Consider the following 19,118-nt stretch of genomic DNA (forward strand, 5'->3'; position numbering starts at 1 on the left):
TACCCCGGGGTAAAGGCTGGGGGTGTCAGGGAAGGCATCTCTCCCGAGGGGCATCGGACACCCAGAGCAGGCTGTGGTCCTCGGGGTGGGAGAGATGGTGGCAACAGCGGGCATGGAAGAGCGGGACCTGCCCTGAGCCAGGAGAGGAGGTGCTGTGGGTTCCTCCTGGGAAGGGCAAGAGGGGAGGGAGGCTGCGAGGGAAGGCTGGGCTGGGTCCCAGGGGCATTGAAGGTCATAGGAAGGCATGTGTGTTTCATCCCAAGAATACGAAGAGGTCCCTGAGGCTCGCAGCACCATCCCATGTGTGTTTATGAGCATCAGCAGAGAGTGGGCATGTGGCGTGGAGTCGGGGTTCACAGGAGGCTTCCCTAGTGCCCCACAGGAGACCAGATGGAGCCTTGGACCAGTCTGTGGGCCTCAGGGTTCACGGGAGGCTTCCCTAGTGCCCCAGAGGAGACTGGACAGAGCCTTGGACCAGGCTGCGGGCATCAGCCTTCACGGCAGTCTTCCCTAGTGCCCCAGAGGAAACCAGATGGAGCCTTGGACCAGGCTGCCGGCATCAGCGTTCACAGGAGGCTTCCCTAGTGCCCCAGAGACTGGACGGAGACTTAGACCAGCCTGTGGGCATCAGGGTTCACGGGAGGCTTCCCTAGTGCCCCAGAGACTGGACGGAGCCTTAGACCAGGCTGTGGGCATCAGGGTTCACAGGAGGCTTCCCCAGTGCCTCAGAGACTGGACGGAGACTTAGACCAGCCTGTGGGCATCAGGGTTCACGGGAGGCTTCCCTAGTGCCCCAGAGACTGGACAAAGCCTTAGACCAGGCTGCGGGTGTCAGGGTTCATGGGAGTCTTTCCTAGTGCCCCAGAGGAGATGGTACAGAGCCTTAAGCAAGGCTGCAGGCATCAGGGTTCACGGGAGGCTTCCCTAGTGCCCCAGAGACTGGACGGAGCCTTAGACCAGGCTGTGGGCATCAGGGTTCACGGGAGGCTTCCCTAGTGCCCCAGAGACTGGACGGAGCCTTAGACCAGGCTGCGGGTGTCAGGGTTCATGGGAGTCTTTCCTAGTGCCCCAGAGGAGACGGTACAGAGCCTTAAACAAGGCTGTGGGCATCAGGGTTCACGGGAGGCTTCCCTAGTGCCCCAGAGGAGACGATACCAAGCCTTAGACCAGGCTGTGGGCATCAGGGGCTCATCCAAGTGAGTGGACCACATTGTTCACTTGGAGAGAGAATCAGCAACCCCTGCTTCCAGTTTAATATGCAGAAAAGTAGACAGTTCTTAAAATAGTTCTCCCTAAAATAGAACATACACAGTGAAGAGGGCAGCCACATATGCCAATCACTGAAAACCATGACAGGAGCGGGCATGGTGGGGCAGAGAGAGACACAGAGAGAGAGACGGAGATGGGAGAGTCCTGGGGTCACTGAGCAGGGCCTGATCTGGATGATCAACTGCAGAGCTGCTTCTGCACTTCCTGGGAGTGGAAGTTTGTGGGGCGGGGTGAGGGGAGAGGGGAGGGGAACATTTTTGTGAAGCATCCTCACACCTCTCAACAGCTTGGCGGGAAGTAGAGGCATAGGTTGAATTTTCACCACCATTTAAAATACTAGAACTACTTTGTCACTTCCTTTGTGAATTCCCCTGTGACCCAAGAGCTGTATAAGAGATCACTGCATATTTTCCAAGCTCTGCGGAGGTTTTATAACTTTCTGCTGCTGATTTCCCCTGTAATTACCCTGGGGTCAGAGGATGCGTTCTGACTTCTGTCCTTTGACCTTGTTGAGACTTGCTTCATGATGAGGCACAGGCGCCCCATGAGAACAGAACAGAAATGCGTAGTCTGCATTCTTTGGTATAATGTCTCCATATCTCTGTTAGGTGACATGTATTAATTATGTGGTTCAGCTCTTCAGTATCCTCCCCAATTTTTTTCTCTTTCCAACAGTTACAGAGAGAGTAGCATGAAAATCTATACATATGATAGTAGATTTGCCCATTTCTCTTGAACAATTTACAAATTAGTAAATGTTTGCAAATGGATAGCTGTCATACACCCCATTGATTTGGCATTTTTATCATTATGAAATTTTTTATTTCTGGTTTTGTTTTTTTTTTTTTGGAGACGGAGTCTCGCTCTGTTGCCCAGGCTGGAGTGCAGTGGCCTGATCTCAGCTCACTGCAGACTCCGCCTCCTGGGTTCACGCCATTCTCCCGCCTCAGCCTCCCAAGTAGCTGGGACTACAGACGCCCACCACCATGCCCAGCTAATTTTTTTTTTTTTTTTGTATTTTTAGTAGACACGGGGTTTCACTGTGTTAGCCAGGATGGTCTCGATCTCTTGACCTCGTGATCCACCTGCCTCAGCCTCCCAAAGTGCTGGGATTACAGGTGAAATGTTTTATTTCTAATATATATTTTTGTTGCCTCAAAGTCTACTTTGTCTGATAGTTGTAAACCCATTCTAGTTTTCCAGTTGGACTCTCATGTGCTTAGCTGTGGGTTTCTTTGTATTTATCTTGCTTAGGTGTCATAGAGATTTTTGAATCTTTAGTTTGACTCTTTCATCCCTTTGGAAAATTCCCGGGGATCATTTCTCACATGCTGCCTCTGCTCCACTCTCTGCCTCCTCTCCTTCTAGGATTCTATTCACATACACATTACATGTTCACCACTCCCCGTATGTCTCCAGCACTCTTCCAATGTTCTTCACGTTTTCTCCTTTGTTTAGATAAGGATAGTTTTTCATGCCTTGCTTTCAGCTCACTAATCCCTTGTTCTATATATGTACATTTCCTTTTTACCTTCTGCTATGACCTGGTCTCTGATGCTGACCTCCACCTTCCTCTCTAGTTTCTGCACATATTATTGGTAGTTCAACTCCCTGCCTAATAACTCCAATATCAAAGTCACCAGTTTCTACTGTTTCATTCCTTCCTCTTGATTTTCAGTTATTCAGTTATATACTTTTTAATGTACTAAGTCTTGTAATTTTTGATTGGATGCTAAACATTGTGGGCAAAAAGTTAAACAGGTACAGAATCGAGCTAGCTTCCACCAAAAATAATTGATGTGTATGTAAGCTATATCATTTAGGGCACATGGGCGGGAATTCTTTGACAAAGATTTGCAACTTTCTTGTAAGCCTGAAATTGTTTTAAAATAAAAAGTTAAAAATAATGAAGTAAAAAATCCTCCCTCTAAATTTGGCATCCATTGACAGCGTGCATCCCCATTCTTACTGAAGCCAGTTACTTCTGGTGATTGCAAAATGCCCTATTCCTCGGTCAGCAGCTACTCTACGGAAGAGCCTTCCTAGTAGCCACCAAGCCCATTCACGGATCAGTTGCTCAGTGATCCATAATTCATTTCTGTCCTCAATTATTTTGACGTTTAAGTGGTCCTGGATTTGGCCAGGGGCTCCTGTGTTCTCAGGACAGTTCTCCACCATTTGGGGGGCAGTTTCTCACTCCTTGGCACAGCAGTGCACCTTCCCCACCACAGCCCTGGAGTTGGCCATTTCACCATGAAAGATGTTTTGATGCAAATATTTTAATCAGAATCACACCAAATCTGATGAGCATCCATTCAGTTGAAATTATATATACATTTTATATATATATAGTTTATATGTAAAATATGTTTTAAATATATTTTATATATATACTTTTTTGGGAGTCTCACTCTGTTGCTCAGGCTGGAGCACAGTGGTGTGATCTTGGCTTGCTGCAAACTCTGCCTCCCAGTTTCAAGCAATTCTCCTGCCTCAGCCTGCTGAGTAGCTGGGATTACAGGCATGCACCACCACACCCAGCTAATGTTTGTATTTTTACTAAAGACAGGGTTTCACCATGTTGGCCAGGCTGATCTTGAACTCCTCACCTCAAGCAATCCACCCACCTCAGCTTCCCAAAGTGCTGGGATTACAGGTGTGAGCCACTGCACCTGGCCAGAAATTTTTCATATTCTATTAATCCAATTCAATTATTGAATCAAATTTAAATACATGGGCAGATAAAGCAATATTCCCAATATTTTGTTCCCATTTCCATTAAATTGACATATTTTCATTTGGATCACACTTTTCACATTTTTATTTTTCAAAAAGATATGACTAGTAGTTCTTTCAGCCATGTCAATCTTCCTGATGATAGTTTTTGCCTTTAGGGATTTTTAGAGCAATTGTACCAATAAAGTTCAATTTGAGGGTATTAAATTATACATATCTAATTTATTTTTCAAGCACAATTCATTCATTCATCAATCTTGAATCAATGCTCAGTTTTAGCCACTGTTAGTTTTACTTAGGTTTGGCTACTTCTAACTATAATCTTTATTATTGACAATATAAAACTGGCAGGTGGCACTAATGTCTCAGCTCACCTGTTCCTGAACCCCCCCCCCCACTGCCACTGCTGTCCCCCCAGCCCTGCTAAATGTCCCCAACGTCTGGACCCAGCCCTGTCCTCTCCTGCCCCTGGACCTTCTCCTGCCGTGAAGCCCTCGCCCACCCTCTGCCCTGACCCTTCTTGGTCTTTGCATTTCCTCTGTGCCTCAGCTTCCCAGATGCCCTGGAGCATCTCCATTGTCCCTCCATGTGCTCACCTCACTCTTCTTTCCAGACCGGTGACTCAGGATCATAAACCTGCAATGCCTCGAGTTTATCGCTGCCTCCCCCAAGCCAGGTCTCAGCTCCTCTTGTGATGTTGCTTTTAACCTTCACAGGCATCCTTTGAGTCAGATACTAATTTTTTTTTCACTCATTTTGCAGGAATATATATAATTAATATAAATATTCACATGTATTATTTATATAATTATAAATGCAGAATAGTTGTATTTATTTTTTACCTGTTATATATTTTATATAATATATTTTATATATTTATATATCTAATATACAATATTTTCAAGTATGTGATGTCATATATTATATTCCTATAGATACTATATACCTAACAAATACTATAAATACTTATATAATTATTGAATAAAATCCTATATATTATACAGTTGACCCTTGAACAATGTTAGGGTTAGGAACAAAGACCCCCTCAACCCCTGCACAGTCGAAAATCCCCATGTGACTTTGACCCCCCCTAAAACCTTAACTACTCATCACCTACTGCTCAACAGAAGCCTTACCAGTAACAGCCAATTAATGCATACTTTGTGTTATATGCTGTATTCATACAATAAAGTAAGTGAAAATTGTATTAAGAACATGGTGAGGAAGAGAAGATGCCTTTACTGTTTATTAACTGGAAGTGGATCATAATCAAGGTCCCCATCCTCATCTTCACGTGGAGGGAGTGGAGGAGGAGGAGGGCGGGGGCCGGTCTTGCTGTCTCAGGGGTGGCAGAGGTGGTAGAAAATCCACATATAAGTGACCCATGAACTTTAAACCATGTACTGTTCAAGGGTCAACCGTATATATTGCATATATATTATATGTTTTGCATTATGTATATTTAATATTAATGTAAAACTAGAAAAGACCCATCGGGCACGTGGGTGGCACAGAATGTCGTGGGTGGCACAGAATGCCGTGGGCCCACGTGAGCCCCGAACTCCCGAGGGGCCTCTTTGCTTCCCCATGGGACAGAAGGCTCCGAACGCAGACCCTGGTCACCAATGTCTTGGCTGACCCGAGAGCAGCTACTGCTTTTGTTTTTTTTCCAAATAAATAACGAATAAAATAGGACTTGCCCTGTCGAAATTAAAAGGGCATTATTTTGAAACATAGTCTTAAAAATGGATTATTCGTTAAGTGGCACCAGCCAACCAGTTAAGCATTTGGGGAAAAATAATTTCTCATTAATACAAATTAAATTACCAAAGGTTAATAACTTGACATAAAAAAGAACCAAAATAAAATATAGAGTATATTTTATTGTTTTTATAAGGAAAGTCCTTTTTTATTTAGAAGTTTTAATCCAGACCATAAAAAAGAAAGAATTGGGTGTATAAAAGTGTTAAGGCAGAGCAAAGAAGGCAAATACATAAATTGCAAGCTGTAAAAAACTTTTGCATTCCATATGCCAAAAAATTCACATCCATAAAACATGAAATTTCCTTAAAGTCAACACGAACACCGCGACTGAGAAAACAAATGGGCCAAATCTATAAACAGGCAAATCACAGGAGAAGGGAAAAATCAGAAAATAACCAAGAAAAAGGATTCAACCTTAAAGGAACAAAACAAAGACAACGTGAAGTCGCAGTAAGGGATTATTTGTCCAGGAACTTGGCCAGGACGAAACAACGGGAAGCCCCAGTGCTGGCCAGGCATGGGGGGCCCACAACCCACCCAGGGGGTGCAGCTGGCAGGACTGCCCTCGAGACCAGTGGGTCAGAATTGACCAAAATTCAGTTGCAGGTTGGTTTTAAGGGGGCATCTCCTCTTCCAAGCACCCCCTGCTGTGACGTGCTGGGAGCCCCCGGGGGCAGGAGAAACTCCCCCATCCACAAGGTGCATTTGCAAGAATATTCCTCAAAACCAGAAGCTCCCCAATGACCATTTGTTGTGAATGAGTGAGGAATTACAGAAGGCCGTAAGTTGGAGAGATAGGCCTGTTTCTGCACCCAGAAGGAAGGAGCCACAAGCTCTTGTGGAGCAAGAGCGGGACCCGGGATGCGAGTGTAGACGGGTGCTGGAAGGAAGCTCAGACCCTTCCTCTCCCCACCAGATTACAGGAGAATGGAATCCCAGCCTGGTGGCACCTACCAGCTCCAGTGCTTTATCAGATACACCCATAGTGGTTTCAAAAACCTACAGGAATATTCCTTTGGGAAAGGAACCCGTGAGGTTGCTCCCTGGGCCGGCTCTGTGTTCTCACTGCCCCAGCTTGCACCTGAGCCCCGCTGCCCCTGGGGCCGTTGGCCTGCTAAGATGCTTTGGGTTTCTCTGCATCCTCCTTTGTATAGTGGAGTGCATCGTGCTGCTCAGGCTTTGTAACAGAGCACCGCAGGCGGGTGGCGTGCACTGCAGACGTTACCTCCTCAGGGTCCTGGAGGCTGAAAATTCAAGATCCAGATGTGGGAAAGGCTGATTCCTCCAGAGGCCTCTCTCCTCAGCTGGTGGACGGCATCCTCCCTTGGTCTTTCTGCTGTGTGGGAGCAGCCCTGCTGGGCTCTGGGTGTCCTAATCTCCTCTTCTTATAGGGACTCTGATCATATTGGATTGGGGCCATCACCATGGCCTCATTGTAACAATCACCTCTGTAAAGGCCCTGTCTCCAAATACAGTGACGTTCTGAGAGTCACTGGAGGACAGGGCTTTACCCTGTGAATCTGGGGGGACACAATCAGCCCATAACAAGGAGCGATAATGGTGGGGTCTGTTGTACAGGTAGGTGGCTGAGGCCACCAAGCAAGTTAGTGCTTGTCAGCCCTGTCAAACACACAAGAAGCATCTTGGTACCCTGAACCCTGCTGCAGCCAGGATGCACAGCCATAGCTGCAACTCACACTGGCCTCCTGAAGCCCCTGAGCCTGGCTGGATTACGTTCTATTCATTATGGGATGTCTAATAATAATAGCAACCTGCTCCAGTGTTAGTAGCAGGACTCAACCCTAGATCGCCTGGCTCATAACCCTCTCTCTGAACCACCTTCCAAACAGAAATGGCACACAATTGTGAAGAACATATTTCATAACAGTCTCACTTTTATTTTAAGAGACAGGGTCTCACTCTGTTGCCCAGGCTGGAGTGCAGAGGGGCGTTCATGGCTCACAGCAGCCTTGATCTCCTGGGCTCAAGTGATCCTCCTGCCTCAGCCTCCCAAGCAGCTGGGACCACAGTGCATACTACCACACCCAGCTAATTTTTGAAATGTTTTTGTAGAGATGGGGTTCTCACTATACTGCCCAGGCTGGTCTAGAACTGGAGATCAAGTGATTCTCCTGCCTCAGATTTCCAAAGCATTAGAACTACAGGCATGAGCCACCATGCCCAGCCCAGTCTCGTATCAATATTTAAAAGGAAAAAATGTTGGTGCTTAAAGGTGGGAGGGATGGGGGATAAGCAACATGGTTTCCAACAAACAAGGCCAAGGTTTGTCTGCACTTTTGGCAGAGCCATCTGTGGCATCCTCCTGGTGAGCGTCACCAGTTGGGAGCTCAGCAAAGACAGTCACCAGGTCCTCACAGCTTTGTCATCCTTCTTGCCACACGGACATCCTCTCTCCCCACCTTCTGGGAGCAGGTCAGTTGGAGAGGGCTCCTTTAGATTGTCACTTTATTAGTAACTAAGAAAATCAAGTTCCCTTGGCTGGAAATCCTCATAGTTTCACTCTCGTGCATCAAGAAATAAAGTTCATAGAATTGCTAACAGACTTTGCAAGGAGCTCTCTTCCCCCCGGCTCCCCACCACCCATTTTTTTTGGTTACAGTAATTGCCGTCTGAGCCTCAAAGGCTAGAAATCGTTTTTCATCTCATGCATGGAGAATTTCCATCTGATTGATGACAGCCACAGAGCCTTTCCTTACCCACGGAGCTGCACTAATTTGCAAGCTAAAACAATATTAGCAAATTGTTAATGGCCCATGAAACTGCAGGAGCAGCGTTAAGTGTTGTGCTCAGGCCTCCCCGGCAACTACAGCTGCTCACCTAAATACCCACGGTGGCAGCAAGAGGAGGAGGCTTCTAAACTCTATCATGGAGGGAGAAAGGGGCTGTCTCGCTGCAGCAAAGTCCTCTGCGGGATTGGCATGGCAGGCATGCCCTCGGTCCCCACTGCTGTGGTGCAGACACAGCGGGTCTGGGTAGCAGTTGGGATTGAATTTTCTTGTAGCAGGAAAGCTGGCACCAACTCCCCATCCAAGCGGATGCCGTGATCTCCTTTTACAGCTGAGCCAATAGCCTGTGTTTGCCTTTTACAGCTGAGCCAATAGCCTGTGTTTCTTCTTCAAGGGAGAAGCAGTTCTGCATGGGCCATGGTTCCCACTCGGTCCCACTGCAGCCTCGTAGGACTCAGCAGATCCCACGGCGTTCCTGCCACGGCTGCCCCAGGTGCGCCCAGAGCTTGGGATGCTGTACAGGCAGCTCAGGCTTGGAGGAGATGGCCGGTCCTGTGCCAGTGGGGAATGAGCAGTGGTGTCATGTCAGGATGTCTGTGCCAGGCGAGTTGGCAGCAGGTTCCTTGGAGGAAGGTCTTGCAGCTGTAAAAATACAATATCTAGGTGTCTGTGTAGAAAGAAGTAGACATAGGAGACTCCATTTTGTTCTGTACTAAGAAAAATTCTTCTGCCTTGGGATGCTGTTGCTCTATGACCTTACCCCCAACCCGGTGCTCTCTGAAACATGTGCTGTGTCCACTCAGGGTTAAATGGATTAAGGGCGGTGCAAGACGTGCTTTGTTAAACAGATGCTCGAAGGCAGCATGCTCGTTAAGAGTCATCACCACTCCCTAATCTCAAGTACCCAGGGACACAAACACTGCGGAAGGCCGCAGGGTCCTCTGCCTAGGAAAACCAGAGACCTTTGTTCACTTGTTTATCTGCTGACCTTCCCTCCACTGTTGTCCCATGACCCTGCCAAATCCCCCTATGCGAGAAACACCCAAGAATGATCAATAAAAAATAAATAAATAAAAATAAATAAATACAATATTTAGGGCCCATGACGGCAGGATTCAGGTTACAAGAAGGCTGATTATTTCAGGACAGATAGGTCAAGAAATGCACAAGACGTGGCTGTAAAGTCCAGGCACTGTCACTTAACTGACACACTAAACAGGATTGGAGAAAAGCGTGGCTGCCTCCCAAGGAGTTCTGTGGGCCGTGGGGCTTTTCGTGCCGATGCCGATGCTGCTCCAAGAATATCTGGAGTTCTGTCTAGCATCATCTTTAAATGGCTGGGCTGGAAAATTAAAGGCCGTCCTGTCACTTTGTAGGCAAACAGCCATCCGTCCAACAGTGACAGTCTACACACGGCTTACCTTCCTGAGCTACCTGGCTGGGCCGGGATGACAGCTCATTCCGAGATCTAAACCCATTCCAAGCGGATCATGAATTCTCAACCTGGAGATACTCCAAGGAATATGCCACAGGTTCTGAAAAGAAATATCAAAAGGGTATCATAAATATGTGTTGCATGTTTGAGAGTATGTTAAATCCTCCAGAGATTCCAGTCTGAAAGAATAACCATTTTGGTTTTTTGTTTTGTTTTGTTTTAATTGTCTTGTGAGTTGGATGTGTGGAAGCAAGACGATGAGGGGAAAGAAGGGAGGAGGAGCAAGGCTGGTTTTCATCCAAGCCTGGGCAACTCCATTCACTGTGTTCAGTTCCCATTGAGAAACCTGGAATCCTAGACTCCCCCCCAGGGGGCTCAACATTGGAAAGGACCTCCCTCCGGAGATCTTCCATCTCTAGATGGAGAAATTCCATCTCTAAACTCTGATAAATGGGCTTCCTGGAAGTTCCCTGGAATTAGATCCCTGCTGCCTGGCAGGGCCCGCTGCTCTGTTCAGGACGCCCTAATTGTCAGCGAGTTCTTCTCTGCAGTCTGCCTGCCTCCAGCTTCTGATGCACCTCATTCTGGAACTTCACATTTTCTCCTAAAGGATCGATCCAGGCCAAAGCCAGCTCAATGCCAGCTCTACCCAAAATACAGCAGCAAAGGTGATGGGCACTGCAGGCAGAAGAAGGCCAAAGCCCCTTCATCCCCATCCCCAGCCCCAGATGCCTGAGAGCCCCCACACTCCCTTCCCAAAGCCCCCACATGGCTCCCTCAGCCGGTGCCTCTGGGGTCTTGGCTGTTGGCACTTGACTGACACGACTGTCTTAGTCCATTCAAGCTGCTATCACAAAAATACAGTGGACTGGGTGGCCGAAGACACAGACATTTATTATTCAGCGTTCTGGAGGCTGGAAGTCCAAGATCAAGGTGCTGGGAGACTCGGTGTCTGGTGAGGGCTTCGGTCCCCAGACGGTGCCTCTTCACTGTGTTATCCTACAGGGGAGTGGGGAGGGTCTTTCTGCGCCCTTTCATAAGGACCCTCACCCCATCCCCGAGGGTTGCAACCGTGTCTCATAATACCACAGAGGTGAGGATTTCCACAAACAAATGTTGGGGGGACACCCATGTTCAGCCCTTACCAGTGGCCAGCCTGCAAATGTCCCTGAAGCAGAGCGGGGAGCAGCACCAGGAAGACGGAGCCTGCTGGGCTGGGGCCAGTCCTTCCCACACCCCACACGTGCACCCGCGCGGCCCCAGGAGGGGTGGAATTTTTGTCATCATCGTCATGACTTTCCCATCCACACTGGATTCATAGTAAGCTCTAAACAGCTGTGTCTGTGCAACCCATCCACATCCAATAAAGATGGTCGTCTATCCATCGCGGCTCACACCTAGAAACTTCATCACACTGTGGGCATTTTTCTACTTAATCCTTTACAGGCAAGTGGGAGATTCCCACGTGCCTGTCTCTATCTTGCTGCTGAAGAAGTGGAAGGCCAGAGAGGAGGAAGCCACGCGCCCGAGGCCGTCTGGCTGTTGAGAAGACCAGAGGAGAGCCTGAGGAGGCCAGGTTCGAGCTCGTGTGTCTCAGCCCAGAGCCTGCAGAATTTTGTGTCTGTCGCGACGGGGTCTGAAAACCTATTCTGGCCGGGCAGGCTGGAACCCGGGCTTGTTGTGGGCCGCAGACCAGCTCAGTGCAGCTCGCAGCCCTGCCAGACGGAAAGGGGGAACTAGGCGCGCAGAAAGGGTACGTGCGGAAAAAACTCTTGCCTCTGCGCTAGAACGTCCGGCAGGGCCCTTCTGTGAACAAGCGGCAGCACCTGCGCCAGGGGCAGGTGCCACTGACAGACGCCTGCCGGGCCCGCTCGATCCTGACCAGCTCACTTCTCAGGGATGCGCTGCACCTGCTGGGCCTCCTGGAACCAGCGCTCGGCTTCGCTCGGGGAGCACGGCGGTGCGGGGCAGCGCATCAGAGCCCGGACTCGGGGGAGGGTCCTGGGACTGCAGTGACAATGTACCTTCACAGTGGGAGCAGGAGGATTAACACGGCAGGGATTGACGCCCTCTCTGAGACCAAGGTGTCAGCAGGACCACACTCCTTCTGGAGGCTCTAGGGGAGGATCCTTGCTGCCTCTTCCAGCTTCCGGTGGTTTCAGGCCTTCCTTGGTTTGTAGACACGCGTCACCCTGTCACTCCACCCTCTGACCCTGTCTTCAGGGAACCTTCTTCTCAGTGTCTGTGTCACGTGCCCTCTTATTATAAGGATGCCAGTATTGGACTAGGACCTCCTCCTCGCCGAACCCAGCAGGACCTCATCCTAACTTGATGACATCTACGAAGGCCCTATTGCCAAATAAGGTCACGTTCACAGGCACTGGGGCCTGGGATTTTCCCTTACGTTTTGGAGGATGCAATTCAATCACAGCACTAAACAAAGACACGGCTTTGGAGGATGGGAGCTAGACTGCTGGAAATAATATGGACACGTGTTATTAAATCGAGAGAGGGGAGATCGTTAACATGTGACATCATCCGGCTCTTATTAAAAAGCCTGATCGCTGCATTGTAATAAGTTTTCCAAAAGGAAGGTCAGCAAGAATCAGTTTCAACTTCAATAATCTCAGAATTACATGTAAGTCAGATAGAAGTTTAATTCTCCTAATTGGGAATTTAGTTAATTTAGACACTGGCTGAGCTGTTTCCTTCTGATGTATAAAGACATAATATACATTTATGTGTAAGATAAACACAGAAGCAGAAGTTGGCCAAAACCACAAATATCATCTTTGCTGATAGTCAATGCCACTTACAGATCACTATGGTTTATCGTCTCCTAAAGACCCTCCTGGGCAGCCCTTCAGCGGCAGTGTTCATTCACTCACTCACTCATTCATTTATTCAGTCTAACTTCACTGGATGTTTTGACTATCTAGAGTACATAAGGTTTGGGAAAGGATGGGACACAGTGCCCAGCAGCCTCAGGTGACCTCGCGTCTGAGGAGGAGGAGAGCAGCATTGTTGGGTGGCAGCAGAACCATCTCCACCAGGGTCCTTGGCGTTGCAGCAATATCAACACAAGGCCGGGTGCAGTGTCTCACACCTGTCATCCCAGCACTGTGGGAGGCCAAGGAGGAGAATCACCTGAGGTCAGGAGTTCAAGACCAGCCTGGCCAAGATAGGGAAACCCCATCTCTACCAAAAATACAAAAATTAGCCAGGTGTGGTGGCAGGCACATGTAATCACAGCTACTCTGGAGGCTGAGGCAGGAGAATTGCCTGAACCCAGGAGGCAGAGGTTGCAGAGAGCCAAGATCATGCCACTGCACTCCACCCTGGGTGACAGAGCGAGACACTATCTCTAAAAAAACAAACAAACAAAATTAAAAAGAACAAAAATTATGGTTTGTTCCAGAATTTTCTTGCTTTACTGATATCTTACCTCAAAATCAACTCACATTTTCCCCAAGAAACTAAAAATCAAATACATTCACTCTAGGGAATAAGATTACCAAGTGCTAAGGGAAATTACAATTAAAAGATGATTTGGGGCTGTGCGAAGTGGCTCACGCCTGTCATCCCAGCACTTTGGGAGGCCGAGGCAGGTGGATCACCTGAGGTCTGATGATGAAACCCATCTCTACAAAAATTAGCTGGGAGTGGTGGTGCATGCCTATAATCCCAGCTATTTGGGAGGCTGAGGCAGGAGAAGCACTTGAACCCAGGAGGCGGAGGTTGCAGTGAGCCGAGATCGCCACACGGCACTCCAGCCTGGGTGACAGAGGGAGACTCTGTCTCAAAAAAAAAAAAAAAAAAAAAAAAAAAAAAAAAATCAACACAAGACGCTTTCAGGAAAGCAGGCGTTATTAGATCCCACAGAGAGCATTCTTGTTTTTAAGGACTCAGGAAGTCATGGAAATTGCCAAGGAAGCGGGATCAGAAGATCTGGGCTGAAGCAGCTTGGAGGTGGCGCTCACAGGTGGAGGGGCTGCCCCGGGGCGGCCCTATGGTGGGGAGAGCAGTGTAGGTCACGCGGGGCCTCCTGACGAGCAGAGTAATGGTCCTGACAAAAAGCCACGCAACCCTCTCTGGAGAAAGGACAAGTGCCGCAGTGAAGAGAGACCACCAATAAGCAGGAGGTGCATCCGAACGAATTTCCTAAAATGCATCAAGCAGAGAGAATGAGATGGAAAATCTGAAAGCAGAAAGCATAAGAGCTTGCCAGGTGGAGCGCACATCTGTTCAGACCATGCCACAGACGACGAAGAATAGAAGGTGGCGTGCCAGGTACAAAGCAAATCCCAGCAAGTGGCCAAGAATGCCCATGTTTAAACCCACATTCCCAAATAGCCCATGATTCAAAGAAGGAATTATAAGAAGAATGAACAATGCTTGGAGGTGAACGATAGTGAATACATCACTTACGAGGTATGTGAAATCAGGAAGAGCTTTGAGAAAACAGCATAGACTATAAAACCAGAATATGGAAAACAAAAGGCATTAAATATAAGAAAAGCTGAAAACAAATCAACTAAAGACTTTAGAGAAAAAAACATAGAAAAATATATAACAAAGTAGGTGTTGTGAAAAGACTGATCAAATAAATAGTGTCTTGTGAGATTAATAAAGAGGAAAGAAGATAAGAAACTATTGGATTTTATTAATAAGGCAATTGAGAGACCAGCTGGTAATGTAGCAGATGTTGGAAAGATAGAAGGAAAAAACTTTGAACAACTTTATAAGATATACTTGAAAGCCTAAATAAAATAAACCATTTCAAAAAATCAAAACTGACTTAAGAAAAAATAGAAATTCTGACAGTCCTATAAATACTCAATACATTTAGTATATACTTATAAACACCAGATCCAGATGGTTTTAGAGGTGAATTCTGTCAACTTTCCAGGAATAGACCATCCTCTACTTATAGGAACTCTTACAAAGACTAGAAGAGGAATAAATTTGGTCTCCAAATCCTTAAATTAGCTGACTATAACTTTGGTAACAAAATCAAATACACATGCTAAAACTCTATGCAAAAATATTCATAGAATAATCCAGTAATCAATTAAAAATTATGTTTGTTTTATCCAAGGAATGCAAGAGTGGAATACATAAGAAAAATATATAATTTTCACTCACCAAATTCACTTATTAAATGAGAAAAATCTTACAATTAACATATGCAAAAAAGTATTTCATAAAATCTAATGTTTATCCATTATTTTAAAAACTTGTAAAATATAAATAGGATAATACCTTCTTAACCCAATAAATTTAATCTACCAGAAACATGTAGCAAACAGAATCCTTAAAGATGAAATGAAATTTAATCCGTACCACACATTATATGCAAAAATAAGTTTCAGATGGGTTAAATGTGAAAGGCAAACCTTAAAATTCTGAGAATACCGTAACATAAAACCATCTCATGGTAGAGAACAATTCCGTTAAGCAACCAAGTACGCAAGCACATAAAAACATTAACCATAAAATTAGAAACTGATTGTTTATGTTAAAATGTAAAATACCTGTTCAGCAAGATGCCATTAGCTTGTGACAAAGTCATAAACTGTATAAAGTTAGAAACGTACAACTAACAAAAGAAGCTATTGATCTGAAACAAAAAAAAATCAATAGAAAACAGGTAAGTCACTGAACAATACAAAAGGATAACACTCCTGGGGTTTGGCTAGAAGCTCGTTTCACAGGTTTTTCTTTTTACCATAATGCCTTGTAGCTTTCACCCATATGACATATATGATTGTCTATGTGTCCAACATAGAGGAGGTTTATTAACCCGTAGGAATTAAATTCCAGAGTCCATGTGATGCAAAGCTGACTCACATCACCCAAGATTCCCTTTCTTGGGGATTGTTTACCGTGCCTTCCATTGGGCAGTCTTCAACCTGAGTCTGTCTTCCTTCTCGGCCACAAGAAGATTATCTGTCTTCTCTGTCACAGCTCCTGTGAGACTCACCTCTGACTCCCTTGTTGACCTATGGCCAGACCAGACACAGACCTTTCCCCTTAATGGACCTGCTGACAAGACTGGACAGGGGCCCTTCCCCTTCCACCCCTAACCAACTCCTCAATGTCTGCCTCATGAGTGACTCACTAGGAACAGAACTTTGTGACCCCAAAGCCAGCTGGGCACAGAGACAAACATGTCCTATGTTTGTCTGAGTGAGAGAGGGTTTTCCTGCTTAGGAAGCCTCCTGGCTGTGATGTGATATCTGCAGGCCTGGGTGCTCTTGGCCTGAAGCAAATCCATCCTCTCACTTGTTCGTGTTTTGCCTTTGACATTTCTAGCCTGACTTGAGTGCTTACCAATTTGGAAAAGTTTGGGGCAACAATGTAAGAATGAAAGGGTGATAACCATTCTGAATTGCTGTGGAGGCTAGAGCACCGTTGATCCACCCCGTCAGCACAGCTTTCGAAACAGAAAGTGCTTCCAGGGCGTCAGGCACAGAGGCAGGTGCACGCCCCGTGGGTATCCCTGTCTCCATCCCCGAGGCCCCCACACCTGCAGCAACCCTGACGAGCGGCCATGTGCACGTGTGTGTGTGTTGGGTGAAGGCAGAGGGCATCGCTCTTGAGTCTTACCTACCCCATTGTGTGTTGGGTGAAGGCAGAGGGCGTCACTCTTGAGTCCTACCCACCCCGTGATGCAGCACTGGTTCAACAGTTCGCAGAGGAGCTTGCACCAAAAGTCAGGAGAGTGTCTCTGTGTGTGGCCGGGGCTGGAAATCCCATCCTGGACCCATCTTCCCGCACTACATCAGGAAGGGAGGGGGAGGAGGTCACCAGCGCCTAGAGGCTGCCATCTCTGTCTCCATCATGCCCGGGGCTGCTGGTTGGCTGTGGGCAAGATGAATTTTCATTCAAAGATGTCTACTGTGGAATTCATTGATACTTTTGTTTTTTTAGGTAATAAGTATTTTACAATGGGCCCTATCGTGGAATCTTCATGATGAGCAAATAAAGAGAATATGGGGGCTCAGGGAAGCCCCACGTTCAGGGGTCACCTGGACATTGTTCAGCGCATCTGTGCCTGTCCCCAGGACTGAGTGTCCGAAGGACTGCCGTCCAACTTAGAATAAAGGGAAAAACGCGGATGCTGGTTTGCAATGGCTGAGACTTCATACTATCAAAATAATTGTAGAAATGCACAATTTTGCAGGAAGAAAATAATGTTTTTAGAACTAGAGATTTTCAACCTGACTTCCCTGAATCTTCTCTTTCCCCTTGAATCGGTGTGAGCACACACGTCTCCCATGAGCTCCAGTTCTGGGACACTGGCACAGCTTTAGTTAATTAACAGGAGTGAGTCAGCGAGGTTGAAAATATGTATTGCAAATCGATGTGAGGAAGAGCTCCAGCTGTCTGAAGGATCGTGGGGCTGTGGATTTTAAAAATGCACCTCTTCATTTGGCTCCTATTCCAGTCCAACCTCTTGCAAACTTGAAAACTCGTAAACATGTCATAGAAAGGGTTATTGCAACTGCTAACATAGAGAGACGCCTTCTTCCTGTCGACTGTCACAGCTGCCAGCCCCTCCCCAAGACAGGGAGCTCTAGAATGAAAGTCTTCCAACACTTCTCCAAGCTGAGCTTCTCAGGGGCGTCTGTGGCTTCCACATAGGGTAGGAAGGCTGAGCTTAACGGATAAAGCCTTTCATGATCCGTCCCTGCATCATTTTCTCTCCCGATTCTTCACCAACCATCACCTTCTCTGGAGACTTCTGCTAGAATTCCCACCAGGATGCTCCATAGGCTCCCGGCTTCAGCACTGCCCGCCTTCTCCAGCCGCCTAGGCATTGGGTATCTCTACCTCCTCCTCCTTGAGACCTCCACCCCCACCACACACACACACACACACACACACACACACACACACACACACACACACAAAACTGTTGCTTCCTCCCTGATCCCCAGCTGCTCAGCACACAGGTCCCTCTCCAAGCTCCCGCTCAGGGCTGTGTGGAGCCCTGGTATCTCAGAGGAGGTGCACTGAATCCTGCCCGCAAAATTGAACAAAGTGCCAACGAGGAATCAAACATACCTGCAACGTTATCCCAGCGAAAGTCAGAGTTCAAACTTCAATGCTGTGCCAGGCTTTCTCTATGTCTGTGTACCTTAAAATGCTAAAATGGGACCACGGCGCACCTCCTGGTTTTCAGCTGGGACCCGCCTCACTTGGACCTGGTGACAGAGTGAACTAACTGCTGGGGCTCAGTCTCCTGACCTCTCCTTGGCTGCCTCAGTTACCCTGCTGCTGATGAGGACGGCAACTTTCTGCTATCACCTGCGGCTCTCTCATGCAACGGTCCCCAACTTTTTGGCACCAGGGACTGGTTTTTTGGAAGACAATTTTCCCACGGATGGAAGTGGGGTGGAGAACGATTTCAGGATGATTCATTTGCTGGGCACTTTATTTCCATTATTATTCTACTGTAATATATGATAGAATAATTACACAACTCACCATCATGTAGAATCAGTGGCAGCCCTGAGCTTGTTTTCCTTCAACCAGAGGATCCCATCTGAGGGTGATGGGAGACAGGGACAGACCATCAGGCATTGGAGCCTCCTGCGCAGTTCACAATAGGGTTCGCCTTCCTACGAGAATCTGATGCTGCTGTTGATCCGGCAGAAGGTGGAGCTAGGACGGTCATGCTCTCTCGCCCGTCACTCACCTCCCACTACAGGGCCCCGTTCCTAACTGGCCACCGACCGGTATGCGTGGGGTTGGGGACCCGTGCTCTGACTCATACCTGGCATCACGCACTGTTACAGACCCTTGGAGGGCTGTGGGTGGGGGCTCAACATCTGAAGTGGAAAAGCCGATTCTCACAGCTCACTGCTTAAGTGTATTATTTTTAACTTTTGATTCACTTTGTTAAACTGGCCTTTAAAATTTTGTTCCAGTTGACATTCCTACCCACTATGTATAAAAATATCTTTTTCCCACAGACTTGCGAACATTAAGAAAATCATGTTTAGCGCCTAACGTAGAAGGAAGAAGAAAAACATATGAAATGTAGCTTTTCAATTAGTGACACCTTGATCATTTAAATTGCTTACTAGAAATATTTCTTTCATCTTTCTGAGTTTGAAACTTTGTGTAGTTTGACTCTTTCCCTGATCTTCTCAAGAAAA

At 47.1% G+C, this 19,118-nt stretch overlaps 1 long non-coding RNA gene across 2 annotated transcripts in view, besides 1 other annotated feature; it reads right to left on the bottom strand.

Annotated features, from left to right (window-relative positions):
- Positions 1-7,646: 7,646 nt before the first annotated feature.
- MIR3667HG (MIR3667 host gene) overlaps positions 7,647-19,118 on the bottom strand; it is a 242,996-nt gene continuing 231,524 nt past the window's right edge. The window contains exons 3-5 of one of the 2 annotated variants that reach the window (NR_110523.2): positions 9,938-10,051; positions 9,725-9,858; positions 7,647-9,158 (exon numbers count right to left, since the gene is read on the bottom strand). This is a non-coding gene — a long non-coding RNA (MIR3667 host gene). The remainder of the gene's footprint in view (positions 9,159-9,724; positions 9,859-9,937; positions 10,052-19,118) is intronic. The other variant, NR_110522.2, reaches the window with a different exon arrangement.
- Positions 11,779-12,326: an enhancer, noted in NCBI's record as "H3K27ac-H3K4me1 hESC enhancer chr22:49812305-49812852 (GRCh37/hg19 assembly coordinates)". NCBI's record gives its function as "activates a minimal SCP1, AML or CMV promoter by ChIP-STARR-seq in naive H9 embryonic stem cells {active_cell/tissue: H9 hESC(naive)}" and the evidence as "EXISTENCE:reporter gene assay evidence [ECO:0000049][PMID:30033119]".

Source organism: Homo sapiens, chromosome 22, assembly GCF_000001405.40.
Source record: "Homo sapiens chromosome 22, GRCh38.p14 Primary Assembly".
Lineage (NCBI taxonomy): Eukaryota > Metazoa > Chordata > Mammalia > Primates > Hominidae > Homo > Homo sapiens.